At 40.9% G+C, this 21471-nt stretch overlaps 1 protein-coding gene and 1 pseudogene across 9 annotated transcripts in view, besides 3 other annotated features; both read right to left on the reverse strand.

Annotated features, from left to right (window-relative positions):
• The window catches only part of LAMA4 (laminin subunit alpha 4), a 147055-nt gene that overhangs the window by 79223 nt on the left and 46361 nt on the right, over positions 1-21471 (reverse strand). For 5 of the 9 annotated variants that reach the window (XM_047418769.1, XM_005266984.5, NM_001105206.3 and 2 more), the window contains exons 4-8: positions 19868-19992; positions 14455-14535; positions 4483-4697; positions 1957-2052; positions 297-448 (exon numbers count right to left, since the gene is read on the reverse strand). In XM_047418769.1, the coding sequence (XP_047274725.1) occupies positions 297-448; positions 1957-2052; positions 4483-4697; positions 14455-14535; positions 19868-19992 (669 nt within the window). The remainder of the gene's footprint in view (positions 1-296; positions 449-1956; positions 2053-4482; positions 4698-14454; positions 14536-19867; positions 19993-21471) is intronic. The other 4 variants (XM_047418770.1, XM_017010854.3, NM_002290.5 and 1 more) reach the window with 1 other exon arrangement.
• On the reverse strand, positions 9287-9393 carry RNU6-1226P (RNA, U6 small nuclear 1226, pseudogene; annotated as a pseudogene).
• Positions 11570-12073: an enhancer, noted in NCBI's record as "OCT4-NANOG hESC enhancer chr6:112519925-112520428 (GRCh37/hg19 assembly coordinates)". NCBI's record gives its function as "activates a minimal SCP1, AML or CMV promoter by ChIP-STARR-seq in naive H9 embryonic stem cells {active_cell/tissue: H9 hESC(naive)}" and the evidence as "EXISTENCE:reporter gene assay evidence [ECO:0000049][PMID:30033119]".
• Positions 12074-12576: an enhancer, noted in NCBI's record as "OCT4-NANOG hESC enhancer chr6:112520429-112520931 (GRCh37/hg19 assembly coordinates)". NCBI's record gives its function as "activates a minimal SCP1, AML or CMV promoter by ChIP-STARR-seq in naive H9 embryonic stem cells {active_cell/tissue: H9 hESC(naive)}" and the evidence as "EXISTENCE:reporter gene assay evidence [ECO:0000049][PMID:30033119]".
• Positions 16084-17283: an enhancer, noted in NCBI's record as "P300/CBP strongly-dependent group 1 enhancer chr6:112524438-112525637 (GRCh37/hg19 assembly coordinates)". NCBI's record gives its function as "activates an origin of replication core promoter dependent on BRD2, BRD4, P300/CBP, MED14 and CDK7 cofactors, with strong dependence on P300/CBP, by STARR-seq in HCT116 cells {active_cell/tissue: HCT116}" and the evidence as "EXISTENCE:reporter gene assay evidence [ECO:0000049][PMID:35650434]".

Below are 21471 nucleotides of genomic sequence, written 5' to 3' on the forward strand. Positions count from 1 at the left end.
AGTGTTTCTCTTTCCTCAGTAGTTTTGGGCATAGATACTAGTCTTTTAGTCATTTCATTTCCCATATAACCTCTTTTGTAGACAGTAGTTCTTGTTTTGGCCCAAGCTCATAGTTACAATCAACTTTTCATAATTTCCTATGAAATTACTTATGTTTTCTATGTTAGACCTACAGGTCTAACAACCTGTAATACAGGTATGAGACTCAGATACAAAAAGGGGTAGAAGGAATTACTAGCTGCGGGCCTGTGAAGCCAGGATGAAAACAGAGTGGAAAGTAGAACATTCCTGCGTACTTTGAGGAGGTAGATGGTGGCGTTGATTTCATTCACGTGCCTATGAGCGGCGGCCCCAGAGGATACGCTCAGCACCCCGGATTTGCCTTCCTCGATGGAGAGCGCTGCTAACCGCAGGTCATCAGTCAGGTCCCAGACGCACTTATCACAGCCTGGAGGTGAAACATTTCTTCAGAATCACAAGTCAAAAGCATGCTAAAGGCAGGCCGTTTTAGCAGAACATAAATCTCTATTTCCTTGGTTAATACCATTTTTATTTTTGTCTCATGAAGAGCTGTAATTCTATTCTTGTCAGGCTTTAGTATCTTGCTTGGCATTAGCTAGTGAAGATGGCTATTGGCTAGACGCTCCTCCTCTCCTATTAGCTTTTCTCAGTATTCAGGGGCTAGCACCAGCCTTCTCCCCACCCCAGGGAGGGCACAGCTCCTCCTCACAGCCCCACTTCCTGGCAGGATGAACACTTCAGCACCGGGAGGTCTGAGGTTATCGCTGCGAGAGTCGCTTCCTGACATCTGATGAGGGTACCAAAGTTCAGGCTGAACGTGGGCACATGGGGAGGCAGGTCCCAGTTCCTCATCACTTCTCACTTTTCACATTTGAGTTCCTCTGACCACTGTCATCACCTCCAGAACCCAGGGCCCTCCTGTGACACACTCACAAGGATGGCACTCTGTGTTTCAGAACTGCCTTGATCACCTTTTGCAACGTGCCTGTTCCCGATCTCTTTCCCTCAGATGGTGCTCTCTTCTAGAGACGTGATAAAGGGAGACTGGCGTGTTAATGGTTGTTAATATGTTAATTTGTTATTTGAAGTTTAACATGGTTTTACTTATAAGCTCTCTCAAGGGAATGATTCCCAGCCAGTACTTCAGGCTTGGTGGGGGAGATGCTTAGGACCAGGCAGGCATCTTGATGTTCTTAAATTGGCCTTGTCTAGGGGCCACCTGTTCAATCAGGGTGTAAACTTGGCATTACTTGTGCCTCACATCCTATGGCATCTTCTAAGATGTAATCCAATGGTAAGGTTAATCTCGTCTGCTCCGAGGGACTGAGAGACCAAGATACATCTGTTTGGGGGAGGGGATGCCTACTATTAAAATAGTTTTTAAACCAAAAGTTTTGTTCCTAGTGTAACTCCTCATGATTTAATTAACAGGAGAGCCAGAGAAAACCAGGAGAGATAAAAGGCAGTTCCATTTTGTAAAGCCTGAATATTTACTTCTGCTCCCACTTCAGATTTGAGGTAACTTGGGAGAAGCCACTTAAATCTCTTGGTATCTCAGTTTCCCCAGGTGTTGTAAATTGTTTGTACGTCGTATTTTCAGGGACCTGAAGAGACGATATAGGAAAAGGAGCTGAAAAGAGCTCTGTCACTGGGAGTTGTGTTTCTGACTTTGCCTTTAGCCATTAGGTAAGATTCTGAATGTAAAGACTGGATAAAATAGAGCTATGCAAATGTAAACCACCCATTTGCCCTAGGGAATCAAGTGGACCACCAAGTACTTGGTGCAGGCTCCATTTGCTGAGGTGCAGAAAGGGTTAAGTCCAGGGGTGGGACTCAGCAGTTTCTAGAGAGTGATATTGCATAGCTTTTCTTAATCCCACACCTGCAGCACATTAGAGAAAGTGGGGTTAGTCAATCATGTACTGTTATTTTTACTTATGGTTGGGCAGTCCATGCCTGTAGGGGGTTCAAAACCTTCTTCCAAGCATTCTCCGGTTACACTGTCACATGGGCCTCCCCCGCAGTTGCACACTGTGGGAAACAAAAACAAGAGACGAGAAATGCACTTCTTAATGCTTAAAATATGGCAATATTTTCCTGGTTTCTAGAAACACTAGCTATCAGTGTATAATTCATCAATGGGAATTAATTACATTCTTCCTTCAGACTGTGTAGAATCTACGATACAGAGATTACGCCCTTCATCCGATTAAGCTCCAGCCCAATGAGATTTTCAAAGGTGACCCTGGGCAAAATTGAATCTAAGTTTTCTAGGATTTCTCTCCCAACTCTTTGGGATTCTGACATGACAGTGCAATTGCTTTAGTCCAAAAATGTCCTGGTAAGTTTCACAAGATACTAAATGACCACGAGCTCATCATTCAACTGGAAATTGAAAGCCATCCCTTCCTTGCAGACTGATACTCCAGTTTAATTTAACTCGGGGGTTGATCATTGCCAGGTGTGAGGGAGGAGCAGCTTAGCAAGGAGTGAGTGAGGAGGCCCAGGAGCGATTCTTGGCTCCCACTGCGCTTGACCCTTGGCAAGACAGACTCCAAACCTCCAAATGACAGCTATGAGTGCAATAAGAATAATGTGCTGCAAGGAATCAGGAACATTTTTACATGAATTTAGAAGACGTGGGAGCCCATTATTCATCTACTGATGATTTTCTGTAATGCCTTTTGGAAAAAGCAAAAACAAAAGCCCAATCTCATCAGACTGTTCAATTTCCACTGAGTTTCTGGGTGGGAACTAATTTGTAATATTTAAAGAGGAATTCTCTTACCATCTATGCTAGCAATTAACTGGAATAGAATTGTGCATTTCCCCCCACTTCTTAACTGTCTTTACAGAATAATCATAAAAACCAGGTTCATGGGAGATCTATTTATTACATTTCATCTGTTTAATGTTCCACAAAATGCAGATTTATTAAATCTTTCAGCAAGATCATGCTTTATTGCTTCTAAAATTAGCTTCTCTTCCAAGAGTGACCTGCATCTTTATAGTTTAAACACAAATTTAGTAAATGTTTTGAGAATCAGGATGTCAACCTTTCAGGCTTTGATTTTGCCAACATTATTTCTGCTGTCCGCCTTCTCTCTCTTTAGCCTGACTAGACACAGTGCTCCTTCCTTTCTGCTGTCATTCTCAGTGTTATGCCTCTATGCACATTGCTTTTTTGTAGACATGTTTACTTTTATTGTGACTTCTGCAGAACATATATGTTGCATTTTTTTTATTTAAAACTCCTTACTCCTTGAATCTTTTCAAGTGGAAATCTGTTTCAGTGAAAGAATTCCTTATAGAGGCATGCCACAGGAGTACAATATTTCCTGCTCTCCCACTCTCCCCTCAAAGTCACATAAGAGTAAGACATACTCAATCTCAGCCTTCCTGTACTCTTAGAGGAAAGCAATGTCACCTCACTTTTGAAGAGCTTCACTCTATGTGGCAAATGGATGAATAAGATCTGTGCGTTTCAGTCTAACTGAAGCCTAACCAGAAAGTTTTCTATGCTATCTTTGAAATATTTACCTCTTATAATTTGAGGAAATTGGAGGATGGTGGTGATTAAATGGTACCCTTGACTTGCTAATCTATTTTATGGAAATCTTGATTTTACCAAACATAACTGAACGAGAGATATAGCCCTCTGAATAAGAAAACTGATTTGAACCATGCAAGGTTTCTTTTTCTTTCTTTCTTTCTTTCTTTCTTTCTTTCTTTCTTTCTTTCTTTCTTTCTTTCTTTCTTTCTTTCTTTCTTTCCTTTCTTTCTTTCTTTCTTTCTTTCTTTCTTTCTTTCTTTCCTCTTTCTTTCTTTCTTTCTCTCTTTCAGAGAAGAATCTCTCTGTCACACAGGCTGGAGTGCGGTGGCACAATCTTGACTCATGGCAACCTCTGCCTCCACCTCCTGGGTTCAAGGGATGCTGGGTGGGACTATAGGCACCCACCACCATGCCCAGCTAATTTTTGTATTTTTAGTAGAGACAAGGTTTTGCCATGTTTGCCAGGCTGGTCTCAAACTCCTGGCCTCAAGCCATCCACCCACCTCAGCCTCCCAAAGTGCTGGGATTACAGGAGTGAGCCACCATGCCTGGCCTGAACCATGCAAGATTTCATTCAGTCTCCTGGTTAATGGCAGGTAATCCATAGAAGTCCGATTTATTTCTTTGATTAAAACTAGAAGGATATAAGATGCTAAGACAAAAGTTCATTTGTTGTGTTTGTGTCTCCTAGTTTATTCCACCCATGAGCAAAATTATATTAGTAGCCTTGATAAAAATTTCTATCCCTGATGGGTTTGGGATGCATATTCCTGAGAATGTACATTGCCCTGGGAAAGTGACAAGGGGGCACTCACAATACTTCCCCAAGAGAAATTCTTCATCTAAATTCAGTATTGGCAGAGGGTCATGCTGGCCAGGCAGCTGGCTTAGTATTTATGATACTGCACCTGCACAGTTCTTGGCTATCCTGGCGTCCCCATAGTAGCCAGGAGCGCAACGTTCACACTTGAATCCGGTGGTGTTGCGTAAGCAATTCCTACACTGGCCAGTGACTTCATCACAATCTTCAAAGATCAGGTTGGGATCTGAATTTCCACTGCAGTCACATTTCTTACAGGTGCTTCCAATGAGTAAGGGGTTTCCATAGTAACCGGGAGCACATCTGAAGAGGAATATCACACATTTAAATATTTAGCATCATGGTTTTTCTTCCTTTTAATCTTCTTTCCTACAAAGAAGAAAGATGTAGTGGATATTTATTGATTTCCCTCCCAGAATTCATTTGCACTCTCTCATCTTCTTCATAGGACCAGATTTCGTTTTTAAGGAACTACCCCTCCCCATTATGTTATAGATCATTTGGTTCACTTCATCTGTAGGCCATTCAGTTCAGCCAGGCTTCCAGCTATAGGATTGAACTGGTATATCCAGCCAGGGAACTGGTGTACACAAATGATATATGATGGGTGGGACCAGATATGCCAAAGGTACTGCAATGAGATGTACCTGTAGCGTACAGCTGGGAAATGTCCTAGCCACAACGTTAATAGCACCTCTATTGAGAAACATTGATCAGTCTAGTCACAATGAATTGTTTAAGTAACTAAGCTTGAGCCATTCAGTGCCTGCTATTCTCCTGGCTGAAAGGGATTGACTCAGGAGTGTAGCTTGGGCTCTTGTTTGAGGGTCATGGGGTGGCATTCTCTCCATCTTCAGGTGAAGGAAGAGGCAGCAGGTAGTACGCTTAGCTCCTGGCAGCAACTTGTAACTGAGCAAAGCCAGCCTGGAGTCAAAGCAGATGGCAGAGCTGAGAGTACCACAGATCAATGGAGTTGGAGCCCAGACTGCCATTCTTCTGGATGTTTTAGATATGCGCACCTACAGAGGCCAGGTGCCTACCTGCATTTATTGTGTGGGCAGAGCCAGTGCCTATGGTCAGGCTGGCTGGGCCTTTGATGAGAGAGCCCAGCTGAGTTGGAGAATGGAGACTGAAATCCATCTAGCCTTTGCTTGCCTTGCCAAGCTGTGCACTCTAGGTGAGGCTGTCTCTGCCCAGAGGAAGAAATGCCTTTCCCTACTTTTCCCAAAGCTGCCGTGCAGGGCAGCAGAGGCCCTGCTGTGAGTGGTGGGCCTGTAGGCCCCATGTAAGGGAAGAGCTGTTACTAGGCTCAAGTTGATTGTTGCCAGCCTAGAGCCTTGAGAGGATGAAGGACCTATGTTGCCATATTTTATTTTTGGAGAAAAAAGTGGAAATTTGGATGTTTATGTGAAATTGCAATTTTTAAAAGTTGATTCAAACCTTGTAAGAGTACTGTACAAGTCAAACTACATGCTTGTTGGCTGATTGTGCACTCTCTTTTGCTGTGGACTCTAAACTAGTGTGGAAGATGGGCCAACTGGAGCTGCAGACACTTTGAGAGTAGCTGGAAAGAACATGTGGTCACACCATAATGGGATTGAAGGTAGGGTAGAGAAGTTAGTTCTGTTGCATGAGAGGGAAAAAGAAAGAGAGCCAGCAAAGGGTTTTGAGCATGATGGAAGTGGTAGTGAAGGAAGCTGGTGCTGGCTTCAGCATGCAGGATGGACTTCAGGCTGGAGCAGAGGGATGGGGTGGGGTATAGAGGGCCTGGGCTGGGGTGTTGGCCTTGGGAGTGGAAAGGAAGGGAGAGCTTTCCAAGGAAATCAACAAGCCCTGGCCAGTAATAATAAAACACTACATTTTTTTTAAAGGATTCCCTTTAAAGTAAGGGAATCATGATTCAGAACATTTGAAAAACAGATACATAAAAAAAAATCACATCTGTAATCCCAGGACCCTAAAAAAGTCACTGTCAACATTTTGTGTATGTTCCTTCAGCCTCTGTTCCCATGTCTCAGTTTCTTGGTGTAGTTGTAGTGATAGGATATGGTCAGTCTTTAAACTCTTTACCTGCATCGAACCTCATAGCTTCATCTATGTGAGTTTATTTAGTTACCACAGACACCCTGGGAGGGAGGCCACACAGGCCTGGCATTCTGGGAGGCTACTTCAGTTTTCCAGGGTCACATAGCTGGAAAGTCACAGTGCAAGGTCCAAACCTTCTGACCCTGGAGTTCTTTCTTTTGCTCCACCCTGGACCACACTGCTGCTGCTATAAATGAATGAGTGGATTCATCCAACACAAGGACAATTCATGTCCATTTTATGTAAGACATAGAGGGAGACAGGATGAAGAAAAACACATAGCCCATTCTCTGAAAGAACAGGAAATAAATTAACCATAATGATACAGAATATGAACTCTAGAAATCTGGTCTATGAAAAAGATGGGGATGAATGTAAATTCTACACAACCCACAAAGAGACACCCCAAGAGGAAATATTCAATGAGTGTTGTTATTCGCACTTTCTCATGTCTTTGCACCTCAGATTTATAGGCCTGCAGGTCCCTAAGCCAGCATAAATTATTCCTCTATGGAACTTGTGGCTGGATTGAATTTCTGGCCTTTGCTGAAGTTCACCAAACAGAGAATATTAGGCTCTTTGGCCGACTGAAATGAGACTCAGATCTACCAGCTCAATGTGTGGCTGGGAATCTTAAGGTCTGGGAGTGAAGGGGCTTGCCCAAGCTCATAGAGGTCAGATGCCAGTAACTTTTTCATTTAATTCCACTGCATTTGCTCTCCATAGGAGGTCCCCTGGTCTTTTACAAGAGAAAACTCAAATTTTCTATTCTGTAAGTTGGAATCTCTATCACAGTGGAAACCTACTTTGAGTTACTCTGAGTCTTAAGAACATCTTCTGGTGGTAGGTTTAGAGGAAACTCTGAAGTTTTAGTCAAAACTCTGGACCCTATGGATTTAACAAAATGAGCATACAAAAGTTTACTTATGATAGTCCCTGACAAACCCCTACTTTTATATATAAGAAAGCTAGAAGGCAGAGAAGCTAAATGACTTGTTCATTGCTGCATAGCTCAAACCTCTGTGGGACTCCAGGCTTAATGTTCTTTCCACTCCAGCAGTCTAGCATTAAAGAATGAACTAATTAATAAATTAGTGATTATAAAAGTGCCCAAGCCTGCCCTCAAAGAACTAACAACAAAGACACAAAAGCACCAGTATTTGAGTTTAGAGTAAGCATTGGAGCCCTGGTGCCCAGTAGCCTGGTCCTATTTTTTCTTCCGTAATCTCATTTCTAGTCTATTAATGACTTGATCCATCCAAGGAAAACAGAACTGGTAAGTTTATGGCTCAAATGAAAGGATTGTGGCATATGAACTTTGTCATTTTGGTTAGTGATTTTATTATTTGGGCAAAATGGAAAACCAAAAGATATGATGTTTAGAAAAAAAGATTATTTTGACCAAAAACTGTTTCAGGAATGCTTGAAGCTCCCCCTGCTCTGCCTGCCCTTTCTCTTTCTCTTCTGCTCCTCCTCCCAGGGCTATACAGCTGGCACTGAAAGTCTTTGTCAAGAGTGCCCAAACTCCTGGGCTAGGTGGCTCAGAAACCTTTCTGGGAGGGATGTCACTCTGTAGCTGTCTTTGGGATTAAATAAAATGACATAAAAAAAAAGAACTTGTTCCAAAGTAGGTGCTATGTAAATGCTCTCCACTTCTTTATGAAAGACTGAGAAATAAGGCTAGGAAAACGTATGTAACCTATTCAGGGTCACAGGGCAAGAATTCAGGAGTTGAGCAAGCTAGAGAGTAAGGAATCATAAGAACTCTATGCAAACAACAGGGTCTACGTGTGAAAAACTTGATGTCTTCAGAGAGAATTAGACTAAATCCCCGCATCACAGTAAACCTCAATAAAGGTTAGCTTTCTCTTGTTCTTCTTCCTTATTTTTCTTTTCCATTATCAAGGCCATCATTGAAATCATTATGATTATCATCTTCATCTCTGATGATACTGTGTTCTGCCTTTTCTGTTAGGGGTTTAAGTCACTTTGGATTTGCTTTAATTTGCCCCATTCTTTTCTTCTGATCTTTAAGCAACAAGATTCACATGATCAATCATCATGTAGTCTTAGCATGTTTCTCACTCCACCACCAAATTTAATGCATGAAAGTATACTATTAAAGCTGCTATGGGAGGCAGTGTGGAATACTGAAACATTGAGATCATATGACTGAAAATGGTATTGAACGTTGAGGGTCTTGGGTTTTAGTTTTGGATTTCTTGCTAACCCAATTGTGTGATGTTAGATTAAGTCACTTCATGGCTCAGAGTCTCAGGTTCCTCATCTTTTTAAATGAACTAAGTACACACACACACACACACACACACACACTACACACACTGCTATATATATTTGGGGGCAGGTGAAGCTGGTGAGTCTTGGGCAAGGATTTTTTTCCCTTTTATTTTTTTCTTGACAGGTAATGATACATATTTATGGGATACAGAGTGATATTCCCATACATGTGTACCATGTATAATGACCAAATCAGGGTAATTAATATCTCATCACCTAGAACATTTATCATTTCTGTGTATTGTGAACATTCAGAATCCTCTTTTCTAGCTTTTTGAAAACAGAAACTAAATTATTAACTATATTCACCCTAGAATGCTGTAGAAAGCTACAAATTATTTCTCCCATCTAGCTGTAAGTTTGTGTCCGTTAACCAGCATTTCCCTATCCTTCCCCCATCACTTACCACCTGCCACCTTTCCCAGCCTCTAATAATCAGAATTATTCTCTCTACTTCTATGAGCTCAATTTTTTTTAGCTTCCTCATATGTGGGAGAACATGCAGGATAAAAAATGTGGGCTGCTTCACGATTCTGCACATCACCCTTGCACAGAGGCCATGCTAATCTTCTCTGGGTTGTTCCAATTTTAGTATATATGCTGCCCAAGGGAGCACCTCATCTTCAAAATGTTCTTAGTTGTTCCTACTGGGATGAGGATGAGAATTGCAAAACTCTACAAGGCTTGTGCATTTTACAATTATTTGCATCAGAAGACAACTTCCATTTGCAATCTCTATTCAGCCAGACTCAGTCAACTCTGGGTCACCCTTTCCATTTTCCTGGAATGGGGTGGGAGATTGGGGGTAAAACAGGGCAAGGAATGACTGACTCCTGTCACTACATAGTACCTTTTTTAAAGGAACATGAAAAGTGCTGTTGCTATTTCTTATTGAGAAAAAATATTTTTACTTAAATAAAAACAACTGAGGCCTTCAACATGCCAGATAGTGTGCTGAGGGAAGAATAGACAGAGGAGGGATAAGGGATATGATGCTGTGTCTGTCAAGCAGCTCATAGTTTCACAGATAAAGAAGCCATTGTGTGATTCTGAGCAGGTGACTTAAATTATGTCGCATTTCTTCCTCTGTAAATAAGGATGAAAATGGTATTCCATAGGATTTTTGGGGCTCTTTTGAGGCTTAAATCATTGTCTGTAAAGTTTTTACAACAGTGCCTGACATACCACCCAGTAAGTACTTAATAAATGTTATTATTTTTATCATCATGATCATGGTCTAAATACAATACAATGTGGAAAGCTTGCCAGCTGATCTGGTGGATTTGGTGAGTAGCATGTCCAACACGGGGAGTTTAAAGTGTGAGGTGGGAGAAGGTTTTTAGGGAGGAAAGACAGGTAGGGCCCAGAGCAGGCCAATATTCATGGACCTAATTGTTAAGACAAGGCAGGTGGGCGTGTTTGAGCTGTTTTTTTACACAGTAGTGTAAGAGGTAGAGTAAGTAAAACATGTTTTATGTTTTAGACCAGTGTTTCGCGAATTTGCATGTAACATGGATCCTTTTAAAAGGAAAAGCATTTTCATGTAATACCCCTTCCAGTGTTAGCTTAAATTATCTTTAAATATTTCAAACATGAAGCTAGGTAGAAACTCCTTATGTCTATGGTTTTTACATGTCTTGAAAACCAAAATAAATTTTCAAATACAACATAAATAAAACTATGAAACTAATCAATTTCAGATTCACATTAATTCAATAATTGATGTTGTCTTATAACCAAATGTCCACTTGCAAAATGATGTGGTAGAGACTGCCTGTGTTCAGCATGCAAATCCAGCCATGTGCCATGTGACGACTCATGTCTCTCACCAATTTTCATTTTGGAATCTTTAGTTTTACAGTTTGCCTTGATGTCATGCCACTTGACCTCCAATTGTCTGTAATGTGTCATTGACAGACTGTCACCTCTGTTATTTTCTCCCAGCACTGAGGGAGATCTTCTCTTATTATAACGTGACACAGCAGAAAGTCCAGAACATGTTTCAATGAATGTTTTCCTTAAAGTTATTATTAAAATTAAACATAAAATTAGGAAAATATTCACTGAGAACTCCTGAACCTTCATTTCCAAGGACAACCAAGGTTCTTAGGTCACGGTTTGAGAAATACTTCCCTAGTATGAGAGTGTGGTATTGAAGGTCAAGGTAGAGCGGTAGTTCACAAAGCAGTGAGAGTCCTGGTGCATGAGAATCCGACGGGAAGTCAAAATACAGGTCCTGGGCCTCAGCCCTGGATATTCTTTTTCAGTGGGTGGTGAAGGGGAGTTGGGGAGGGCTCAGGAATCCAAAGTTTTCCTGGAGACAGTTGGACACAGATTTTAAAACCACCACTTGACTCAATGATCTCTAAAGTGCAAAAAGACCTAGCAGGTTCTTGGTTTGGACTAATTATTACCTTTGTTTAAAACAGATATCCATACAAATCAGTTGCATATTTAGAAAAGCTCTTTTGGAGAGGTTCAAGTTCACAAATACATTGAAAGCACAGATTAGGCGAAGGTTAACTCAGGCAACTTAAGAGCTTGGCTGTTCAAGCAGAAACCCTCCTCTTAACCCCAGGGTCAAACAAATCAAAAGCAGCAAAGACCACCGCAATTTGGAAGACATAGCTCTTCTGGCTCAGTTTCCTCATCTGCAAGATGACAAAATACAACCTTCTCTAAGGTGGCTGTGAAGATGACAGATGAAGAATGTAAAGCAACAAGGACATAAGTGATAATTAATCAGTGGCACTATTTAGCTCAGAGCTGTAATTTCTAGCTAAGGAAACCGAGACTCAGGGAAATGAGCCAACGTGTCCCAGGAACACAATCGGCAGTGGCAGAAGTTGGACAATGACCACCATGACTCATACTGTCACCTGTTAATTCTTATTGAGCATTTACTCAGTGCCAGGTCCCACACTCAAAACTTTGCAGTATTATCTCATAACAGTTTTATGAGACAGGTAACTTTATTTTCTCCATTCTGTACAAGTGGAAATTGCCACTTGGAGAGGTCAAAGAACTTGCCCGGGTGGGTCACAAAGTGGTGGAGCTGAGATTCACACTCACCCAGGCTAATGCTCAAATCTCTTCTTTTCAACACTCTACTTTCACTTTCCAAACCAGTGCTCTTGTCTGGAGCCTTCCACTCCAGCAGCAGATCTGACCCAGCCTTACTGGGTAATGGCAGAGCTCATGAGCATCCTATGTGGGCTGAGGCATTTATCATCTGTAATTCCTTGTCAGAGGTGGGCGTGCAGTCCTGCTGATGGTTTGGGATGACAGAACCCTTCTCTGCACCCCTGTGTGATTTTACAGGACTGTGCCCTTAGGGTCCAGGTGATTTCACTTCTGCGAGCTTTGCATTTGGTCAGCAGGGCTCTATCTAAGGCCATTAACTCTCCCCGTGGGGGCCATTGAACACCCATTAGCAATACTGCTTGGTCATTATCAAACTAAATTGAATTTAACCTCAGACACTGAGGAGAAAAAACTCCATCCTGGCTGATTAACAACCGCCACAGACCTCCAGTGAGCCAGAAAATGAGTAAATCAGGTGCCTCCTATTCCTGTGTCTCCAAGTAAGGAAATATAGGATAAGTGTGTCACAAATTTCAATCAACCCAATGTAATCGATCATCTCTGTCAGTCCCTCCTAATAGATGAAATTCATGTGGACCCTAAGCTCGCTTTCCCTCTTATGGCAATAAATAAATAAATTCAAAAAAATCCACAATCCTTTAGTGAAATAATTATCCACATTTTGCATATTTAATAATCATAATAACAATGCCTTCCAAGTGCAAAGATTTTTCTCTGTATCACAGATACTGTGGCTTTTTTTTTTTTGAGTTTCAGACCCACTTTTTGAGAGATAGAGGGTGTTTTCTTTGGAAGTGAGATTGCTTATAATTTAAAGTTTACATTTTAAGCCCCAGGTTGAGTTTGTGAGCCCATCTGTGCTGTTGAGGGCCTGCAGATGAGTGACTGGGTGCTTGACTATTTCCGCTTGGCTCTTCCTTCCCTGTCTCTAGGGCACTACATATCGTTTAGCTGCCTAAACACAATGGTGAGGCCAATGCTAATGGCATTTCTGTTAAAAACAAGAAAACCTGTCTGAGAGACTCTTTGAGCAAAAGCCATTTTATCTTACAACACTGCGAGCAGCTGGCAGGTGGAGGGAATGGGAAATATCTTACCGAGTCATTCAGTGGAAAGCCTCTCGTGCTCTGTGGAGAAGGCCTTTCTTACATGAGCAAAGCCCAGAGCAGTTTAGAAAAAGAGAGAAAAGAGTGTCATGTGCTTTTCAAAAGAAGACATTTATGTGGCCAACAAACATATGAAAAAAAGCTCATCATCACTGGTCATTAGAGAAATGCAAATCAAAACCACAATGAGATACCATCTCACACCAGTTAGAATGGCAATCATTAAAAAGTCAGGTAACAACAGATGCTGGAGAGGATGTGGAGAAATAGGAATGCTTTTACACTGTTGGTGGAAGTGTAAATTAATTCAACCATTGTGGAAGACAGTGTGGTGATTCCTCAAGGATCTAGAACCAGAATTACCATTTGACCCAGCAATCCCATTACTGGGTATATACCCAAAGGATTATAAATCATTCTACTATAAAGACACATGCACACATATGTTTATTGCAGCACTATTCACAATAGCAAAGACTTGGAACCAACCCAAATGCCCATCAATGATAGACTGGATAAAGAAAATGTGGCACATATACACCATGGAATACTATGCAGTCATAAAAAAGGATGAGTTTATGTCCTTTGCAGGGACATGGATGAAGCTGGAAACCGTCATTCTTAACAAACTAACACAGGAACAGAAAACCAAACACCACATGTTCTCACTCATAAGTGGGAGTTGAACAATGAGAACACATGGGCACAGGGAGGGGAACATCACATACCGGGGCCTGTCAGTGGGTGGGGGGCAAGGGGAGGGATAGCATTAGGAGAAATACCTAATGTGGATGACGGGTTGATGGGTGCAGCAAACCACCATGGCACGTGTATACCTATGTAAGAAACCTGCACGTTCTGCACATGTATCCCAGAACTTAAAATATAATTGAAAAAAAAAAAGGAAAAAAAGAAAAGAGTGTCATATGTAAATACCAGCCAGAGATCCAGAAAACCTAAACTCCTGTGGAATTTGTTTACTTTTTAGTATGGTATAAAGCTGGTATAAAGAATGGGCGAAATAACAGCTTTGTGGGTTGTTTTTTTCTAATTTATTGCTCTATTGACAAAAGGTGATTCACATTTTATTTACTGAGGAAACCTCACTCTTTTCTGGGGAACACTAATTTTAGTACTATTTCTCATTGATGGAGAGAGAAAAGAGTACTACCAAAACCATCTAGAGAATCTTTTCAAAATACACATCCTCAATTTCCTTTTTCCCTGTGTGCTTATCCTGAGATGTGGCCTTGGCCTGAAGCCCTAGGAAGCATATTGTTATTTGCTGTATCTGGGGGATGGGATTTAGGAAAACTTCCCTAAGGGGTTTTGAAATGCAGTCCCTCAACCACTCTTAAGCATCTCCTTCAGGACCCACTGAATGGGAGTATGGCAGAGCTGTTGAGTGTGAGAAACAGAAAGCTTCCTTTGACCCACACAGAAAATAGAGAATTTTATTGGCTTACCTTTCACAGTTAGGTCCAGCATAATTTTCGTTACAAATGCACCGAACAGCTCCATTTTTCCTATAGCAGGATTCTGCAAAACTAAAATTGGAAGCAAATATTGGAAGTCAATTCCATACATCACCAAAGAGACTGTCTTAACTTTTTATCAGATTACCTCTATGTTGGTCCCATTAAAGTTCTAATGGGTGCAATCATTTTCTTTATTTAAACTTGTACACATTTACCTTGCAGGAAAGGTTAGGCTAGCAGGCCCCAAAAGAAAATGCCACTTGTTGGTGGGACCATTTCCCAGGTCCTATATATATATTTCAAGCACTAGTCCAAAACATGTATCCCAAAGCTGGAAATAAAATGATCAAATTCTACCTGCAATTTTGGATTTATAAGAGAATCCCCTTTTATTTCCATCACTGTCTATGTAGTCATTTAAAAGTTTCCCCTTTTTTTCTGCACTAGAACTTGTCCAGTTTTAAAGGGAAGGAACCAGTTCTAAACTATATAATCTCCACAGAATTATAATTTCTTTCATGTGTACTTTAAATATTGGAAATAAGGTTGCTGAGACTGGCTGCGTCGATGAAAGTCCCAGTCAAGTACTGCAGCAAAACATAGGACCCACCATAAAAGGATTTTATCCCATGGAACCCTCTCTCTTTCTTCTTCTTCCTTTTTTAAAGATAATAAAAATTAGGACACAGGACAAAAAAGTAATAAAAATATTGGTTTAGTGGAATACATAAGTCTCCTCACTATTAAGGCAAGGGAAATGGGGTTATGGTCTCCACGTGTTTGGAAAATTCTTCATAGACACATGAATTGTGTGGGGCATAGGGGTGTGTGTGTGTGTGTGTGTGTATGTAAAATTTTAAGGACTTTTAAATTAGCTTTGGCTTTGGTACTATACAACCAATAAAGTGTGACCCGCTGCTCTCTTGTTCCTTTATGTATCAGCATTTCTTACCCTAATGGTGTTTGGAGGAAAGCAAATAGATGTGTTTATTTGTTTGAAGACACTTAAAAAATCAGTCAGAAAACAATATGTGCTTCTCAGTGAAAGGCAACACCCACAATTTATTTTCGCAAACAGTTGGGTAAAAACATTCCAACAGAATTACATTTCTTTGGCCTTTTACCCTTTATTTTGCTTGTTCTGATTTCTTAGCCTACTTAAAGAACCACTGTCAGTTAAGAGTCCAGAACAGGAACCCGCGCTTCCATCTTTCTTTGAAGGTGTTCCACCCAGCAGCCTGCCCACGCTTGAAGCATGCAACATCTGCTAGGGGCATCTGGAGTCATCCGCCTGTAGCTGGTGTCCTGCTGTTTCAAACAGATGACATTTTCCTTAACTGGAGCGATTTCCATAGCTACTGGTAGAGATGGAGGACGTCTGGCCAACCCCCAAATAAATACATGAACATTATGCAAATGGTCCCTGGGAACAACTGCATGACCACTGGTCTCTGTGGCGAAGGCAGACTCGGTGGCAGGGCCAGCCCTCAAGGGTTCGTTTTTGTTTCTCATCAGCATTAACTGTTTATGTTTTGTCTGGTTTTGGCTAGGGAAGTGAAAACACTGCGTCTCTCTCAGCCCACTGTAACCACTGTGGTGCCCATTTCAAGTGGAAGGGTGCCTTTTGCTCTTAGAAAATCCTTAGGAACTTAGAGAAAAATAGACTCGGCCCTTTGTTTGCTTAATCCCCTGAAGCATTATTTCCTTGCTTTCTTGTAACTGGAAATCCAAATCCTGCGTCTGTGGGCTCAGCTTCATCAATGTTTCAAAATGTAATTCAGAGTCTAAACTAGACGCCTTTCTGAAAAGTCCTGGAACTTTCATTTTATAGAAAGTAGCAATATGAATTTCTTAAAAAGCTGAAAGAGGCAATGGGCATTTGATTTTTGATAAGATATTTGATTAGTATTTGAGATTAGCTAACTAAGTTAATAATAAGTCCAGATCAAAGGTTAGAACTTTTTAGGACCCAAGAATATTTGTTCTGTTCCATGACCACAGATGAACCCCTCCTCTCCTTTTTTGCAGCCAGTTTCCCCAGCAAGGGATTCAAGAAGTAGAGCTGTTGTCACTACAGAGAAAAATCTGTAAAATCCCTTGGTCTCTCACACCCTTACCAATTCCTCCCTACTCCTACATGATATTTACTTATAGGTGACACACTTTTTACTTCATTTTCGTTTTCAGTAGGTTTTTCAACCTCGAATCTGTACTATTAGAGACTTGAGTTTTCGTGTCTGTGAATATGCATCTAGATTTAGAGCACATTCTCTAAGTCCCTTCAGTGCTCCTTTGAACCCTGGATCCACTTACACAGAGAAAAAACATGGGCAGACATGGTGCCTTGATGCCTTTGGAAACTGTTTCCTCTTTCAGGAAAGGAGACTCATTCCACAGTTGGCAACTTTTGACTTCATTTCTTAAAGAGTTAACAGCATTCAGAAACGCTTCTTGCTCAACTAACATACCGGATACTGTGATTCAAAAGGTAAAGGGTCATTTGCTCTAGGAGTTTCAAAACACTGCTGTATTTTGACCTATCTTAATAAAGGTGAGATTTTTGACTGTTTTACTCACTGCTGTGTCACCAGTGACTAGTGCATGACTGGCACATAATAAGTACTGACTACCAGTTTTTATACCAGTGTATAATAAGTGCTCGATAAATATCTGATTGCATGTAGACAAGGCTTCTCAGTCCATAGGGAATGATGTTCTAAAGGTCTCATATCCCAAGACCAGGTAATTTAGATAAGAAAGTCTTGTCATGCAAATGGGGTGAAAAGTGCAAAAGTGGAACAGCATAATTAGAAAGAACCATCTGAGATTGCCTGCCTAATTCATCTGCTACTGCCAAAAAAAAAAAAACAAACACTGCAGCTCGACGCCTATAAACCTTTTCTGAGCAGATGAGGCTACACAACATGTTTATGAGAGAATGAGTGAAACCAGCTATGAGGAAGTTGGAGGTAATATATTTAACAATATATACCATGGCAAGAGAACTGTGCTAAATATCTCACCAGACGTGATTAAAACGAATGCTTGAGAGCAGAATATTAATGAACAATGAAAAAGTATACCAAGACGGAGTGAAGGGAGCTCATAAATCAGGACATACTTGAGTGAAAATAACAGAACAGTTAATGTTTGCGTTTTCTACCCTCACTGTGAGTACCATCCCTTTTGCACATGTTATTAATACTATCATACATGAAAAATTACAGAGCAAGGTCTGAGGCAGTTTAACAGTTTCTGAAGAAGGATGGGACTGAAACTCGTCTGACTACTCTGACTGTTAGACTTGTAGTATTTGAATACATCACAAGCTATTAGGTGAAATGTTAGTTGATATTGGTGTTCAATTAAGGAAAAAACATCGGGGGAATCTGATTGCCATCTGTCTTTTTCTTTTCTGTTTATCAGTAAGTGTGTGAGTATGAGTGAGTGCGTGTGTGTAGTAAGCATTCAGATTTTAAAAAGTCATTTTATGTGTATCATTTAATCTTTACAACAGCTATCAATTACGTAAATATTACATCGAAACACTTAGAACAATGCCAGGCATAGAGTAAGAAAAATCCAAGTGTTAGAAAAAATATAGCGGTATGTGTTCAGTAAAGGCAACATCTACCTTATGCCTTTCCATGTTTAGGGTACAAACCCAAATCCTCCACACATATTATCCTAGTCCAGTCCTCACAACTCTATGATGCAGATCCTTACTTCCTAGTTTGATTTACTGTACTAAGGAGAAAATCTGAAATACTGGGCTGGTAAATGAATCAAGGAGTAGAGCCAAGATCTGAACCCAGGCTTCTTGACTTCAAATCCCATGGAAAGTGAGATCTAGGGAGAAAGTAACTTTTCTGAGATCACACAGGTATTATGTGTCCAAATTTGAATATGAACCTAGATTGGCTACTCTTTCTACTTGTGGCATAATAAAAAAAACAGTATTTAGCCTTTGGTTCCTGGCACAGACTCCTGTAATTCTTGGAATTTCCTGAGGGAAAAGACTGTCTTTTGTTATTCATAACAGGCACCTTTCAACCATATCTGAGTTTATGCTAATGAAGTGACTCACAGTGGACCCCTGGATACCTTGAGAGTGGGAGCCTATGACCAGAGGCACCACCGAGGAACCAAACATGTAATTGGACGTTGTGAATTTCAACCCTCCCCACCCCCAACCTCCAGGGAGGAGAGGCTGGAGATTGAGTTCAGTTACCAATGGCCAATGATTTGACCAATCATACCTACAACATGAAACTTTGATAAAAACTCCTGAGCAACAAGGCTTGGGGGGCTTCCGGTTGGTGACACGTGGAGGTGCTGAGAGCATGGTGCTCCAGCAGAGAGCCTGGAGTCTCTGCACGCACTCCTTCTTCACTCCCACTTCTCCATATCCTGCTCTATGCATCACTTCCATGTAGCTCTTTTGGAGTTGTAACCTTTTAACAAACTGACAGTCATAAGCATAGCACTTTTCTAAACTCTGTGAGTCATCTTAATGAACTGTCAAACCTGAGGAGAGGTTGAGGGATCCTTCTCAAATTTACAGTCTTCTGGGAAGAAGTGTGACTAGCCTGGGGACCCCATTTTTGGCTGGCATTTGTAGTGGGGGCATTCTTGTGGAACTGATCTCTTAATCTGTGGGATCTGCACTGACTGTGGAAACTTAGTGTCAGAACTGAATTGATTGTAGGACACCCAGTTGGTGTCAGAGAGTTGGTCATTTGGAAAACCATATATCACTATACCTCTTAAATTCCATATTCTGTCATTTTAAAGAGAATAAAATGGCCATTGATGACTTAATTACTGGATTTACACATATTCCATTATTTCCATTAAAATGTATGTCTCTTTCCTTTAACTACTCATTCAGGTCAAAACGTAGCCAGAAAGTGTTCCTGTAAATCTTCTGTGAGCTGATTGGCCTAAAGCATGCATTCTGTTGATCTGTGTTCTAATTCTGACTGAAAAGCCATATGTAGGGAAATGTTTCCTTTGTGAAAGTCAGAAGAGGCAATATTACTGAAAATATGATATTATAATGAGTCTGTTGGGATTACCAGTTGTGATTGCTCTAGGTCAAGAGAAAGTCAAGAAAAGATGAGACTATCCTTGCTTATAAAACTTAGGAGACTTTATTGACCTCATGATGCACCCCAATATTTCGGGAACACAGTCATCATCTATATTGTAAGTGCTTAAGCATTCCAGGTGGTGTATTTGGACTAGAAACTTTTTCTATATCTTTTCCAGTCTCATCTCAATATGAGGTTTTGCCTGTGGAGAAACCTCAGAACTCTGGGATAAGGCAAAACAAAACAAAACAAAACAAAACAATACATAGACTGATCATTAGAAGAGACCATCCTCCTTTAGGACTTACTTGGCCAAGTGGGGCAGGGGACAGGGGCACGGCTGGCAGAATTGGGGTGCTCCCCTGATGGAATCTCCGATATAACCATCCAGACACTTTTCACAGTGCTCTCCTGTTGTGTTCCGCTGGCAGTGCTATGAGACAAAAGACAAGAAGATTGACAAGGATGCGAAAGAAATTTTAGAGACAGCACATCTAAGCATCATGCAATACTTTTTCAAGCAAAAGGGACATCAGATCAGACAGCACAGACTGTATGCGGCAGTACAGATTAGCATGAGGAGTCACACTGGCCCCAGTCAATGCCAGAAAGTGTGGGTAAGTGGTGAATTAATTTTTCCTGGGCTTTTGTGTGTGTGTGCTAGTAGCCTGGGGACTCTAGAGTTTGTGTGCAGAGGAGATTATTCATCAGTTACTTATTTCAGTTCAGAGTGATAATCAGAATGATCAAACCCTGGATGTTCCAGAAATATTGGCTTATTGACTTCGAATGAATATGAAATGAGAAACCAACCAACCAACCAACCAAACAAACAAACATCCCCCTGGTACTTATCCATGGCAATGGGAACAATAAGGATTTATGGTCTTGGAAGGATAAAATGTGTCAGACTGTAGTATAAATGGAGTAGAAGGTAGATAAAGAGCATTCTGCTCATGGGTTGGTATCTTGGATAGTGACATAGAAGAATCAGTAAGGAGGTTTTTTTTTTGTATGATTTTCCCACTTGTAGTAAAGATTATAGGAGTAAAAGCACAAAGCAGGCTGACCCTTCTGTCTGGAATGCCATTCATCATTCAAGATCACACTAGGCTGCAAAATCTCTTGAAAGTACATCCTAATTCTCCCTTTCAGGATCCTTCCTTCTTTTCCACTACCCATATTGTAGTGCTATTATCTATTCTCAGCCTCATCACCCCTCCCCAACTCTGTGTCTTTCAGCACTGTATTGCCATTAACTCGAACGGAGTAGGCACTCAGTAACTGTCAAACTGATGGATTAATTTCTATAAGGGGCAGTGAGCTAACACACAAACAGCTTTCTTCTATGGGACTATACTAGTGGTACAAGGCAAAGCCATTAGCTCTATTTTTTTCATCTTTACATTCATCAGAGTGTATAAAGGTTGAATTGGGGTTGCAGTGAAAAATTATACTGTTAGAATGTCATTGAAGAAGCACCCTCCTATTTGAGCAATTGCCTTAGTCACACCGATGCATAAGAGCTTCAACAGGACAACTTTTTTAAAACAGTGGAGGAGCCTTGGGAAAGCAAGATGGAGTAGCAGTAGACTGAACTCTGAGGTCCTTATTTTGGCCTTTATGCTTTATTTGAGGTTCAGAATAAAAGAATAGCAAGGCCCTGCTCTAAACATTTTGTATGGATTAACTGACTTAATTCTCACAACAATCCTGAAGTAGGTTCCTATTTCCCCTGCCACCCTCACCCCTGCCATTTTACATCTGAAGAGATGGAGGTGCAGAAAGATTAAGCAAATTGCCCGAGGTCACACGGATAGTAGGTGTCAAAAGTGAGATTCAAATTCAGGAAATCTGGCTCCAGAAGTGAACTTGTTAGTTTCCATATTATACTGCTTCTCCAGTAATGTTG

Source organism: Homo sapiens, chromosome 6 (genome assembly GCF_000001405.40).
Source record: "Homo sapiens chromosome 6, GRCh38.p14 Primary Assembly".
NCBI lineage: Eukaryota > Metazoa > Chordata > Mammalia > Primates > Hominidae > Homo > Homo sapiens.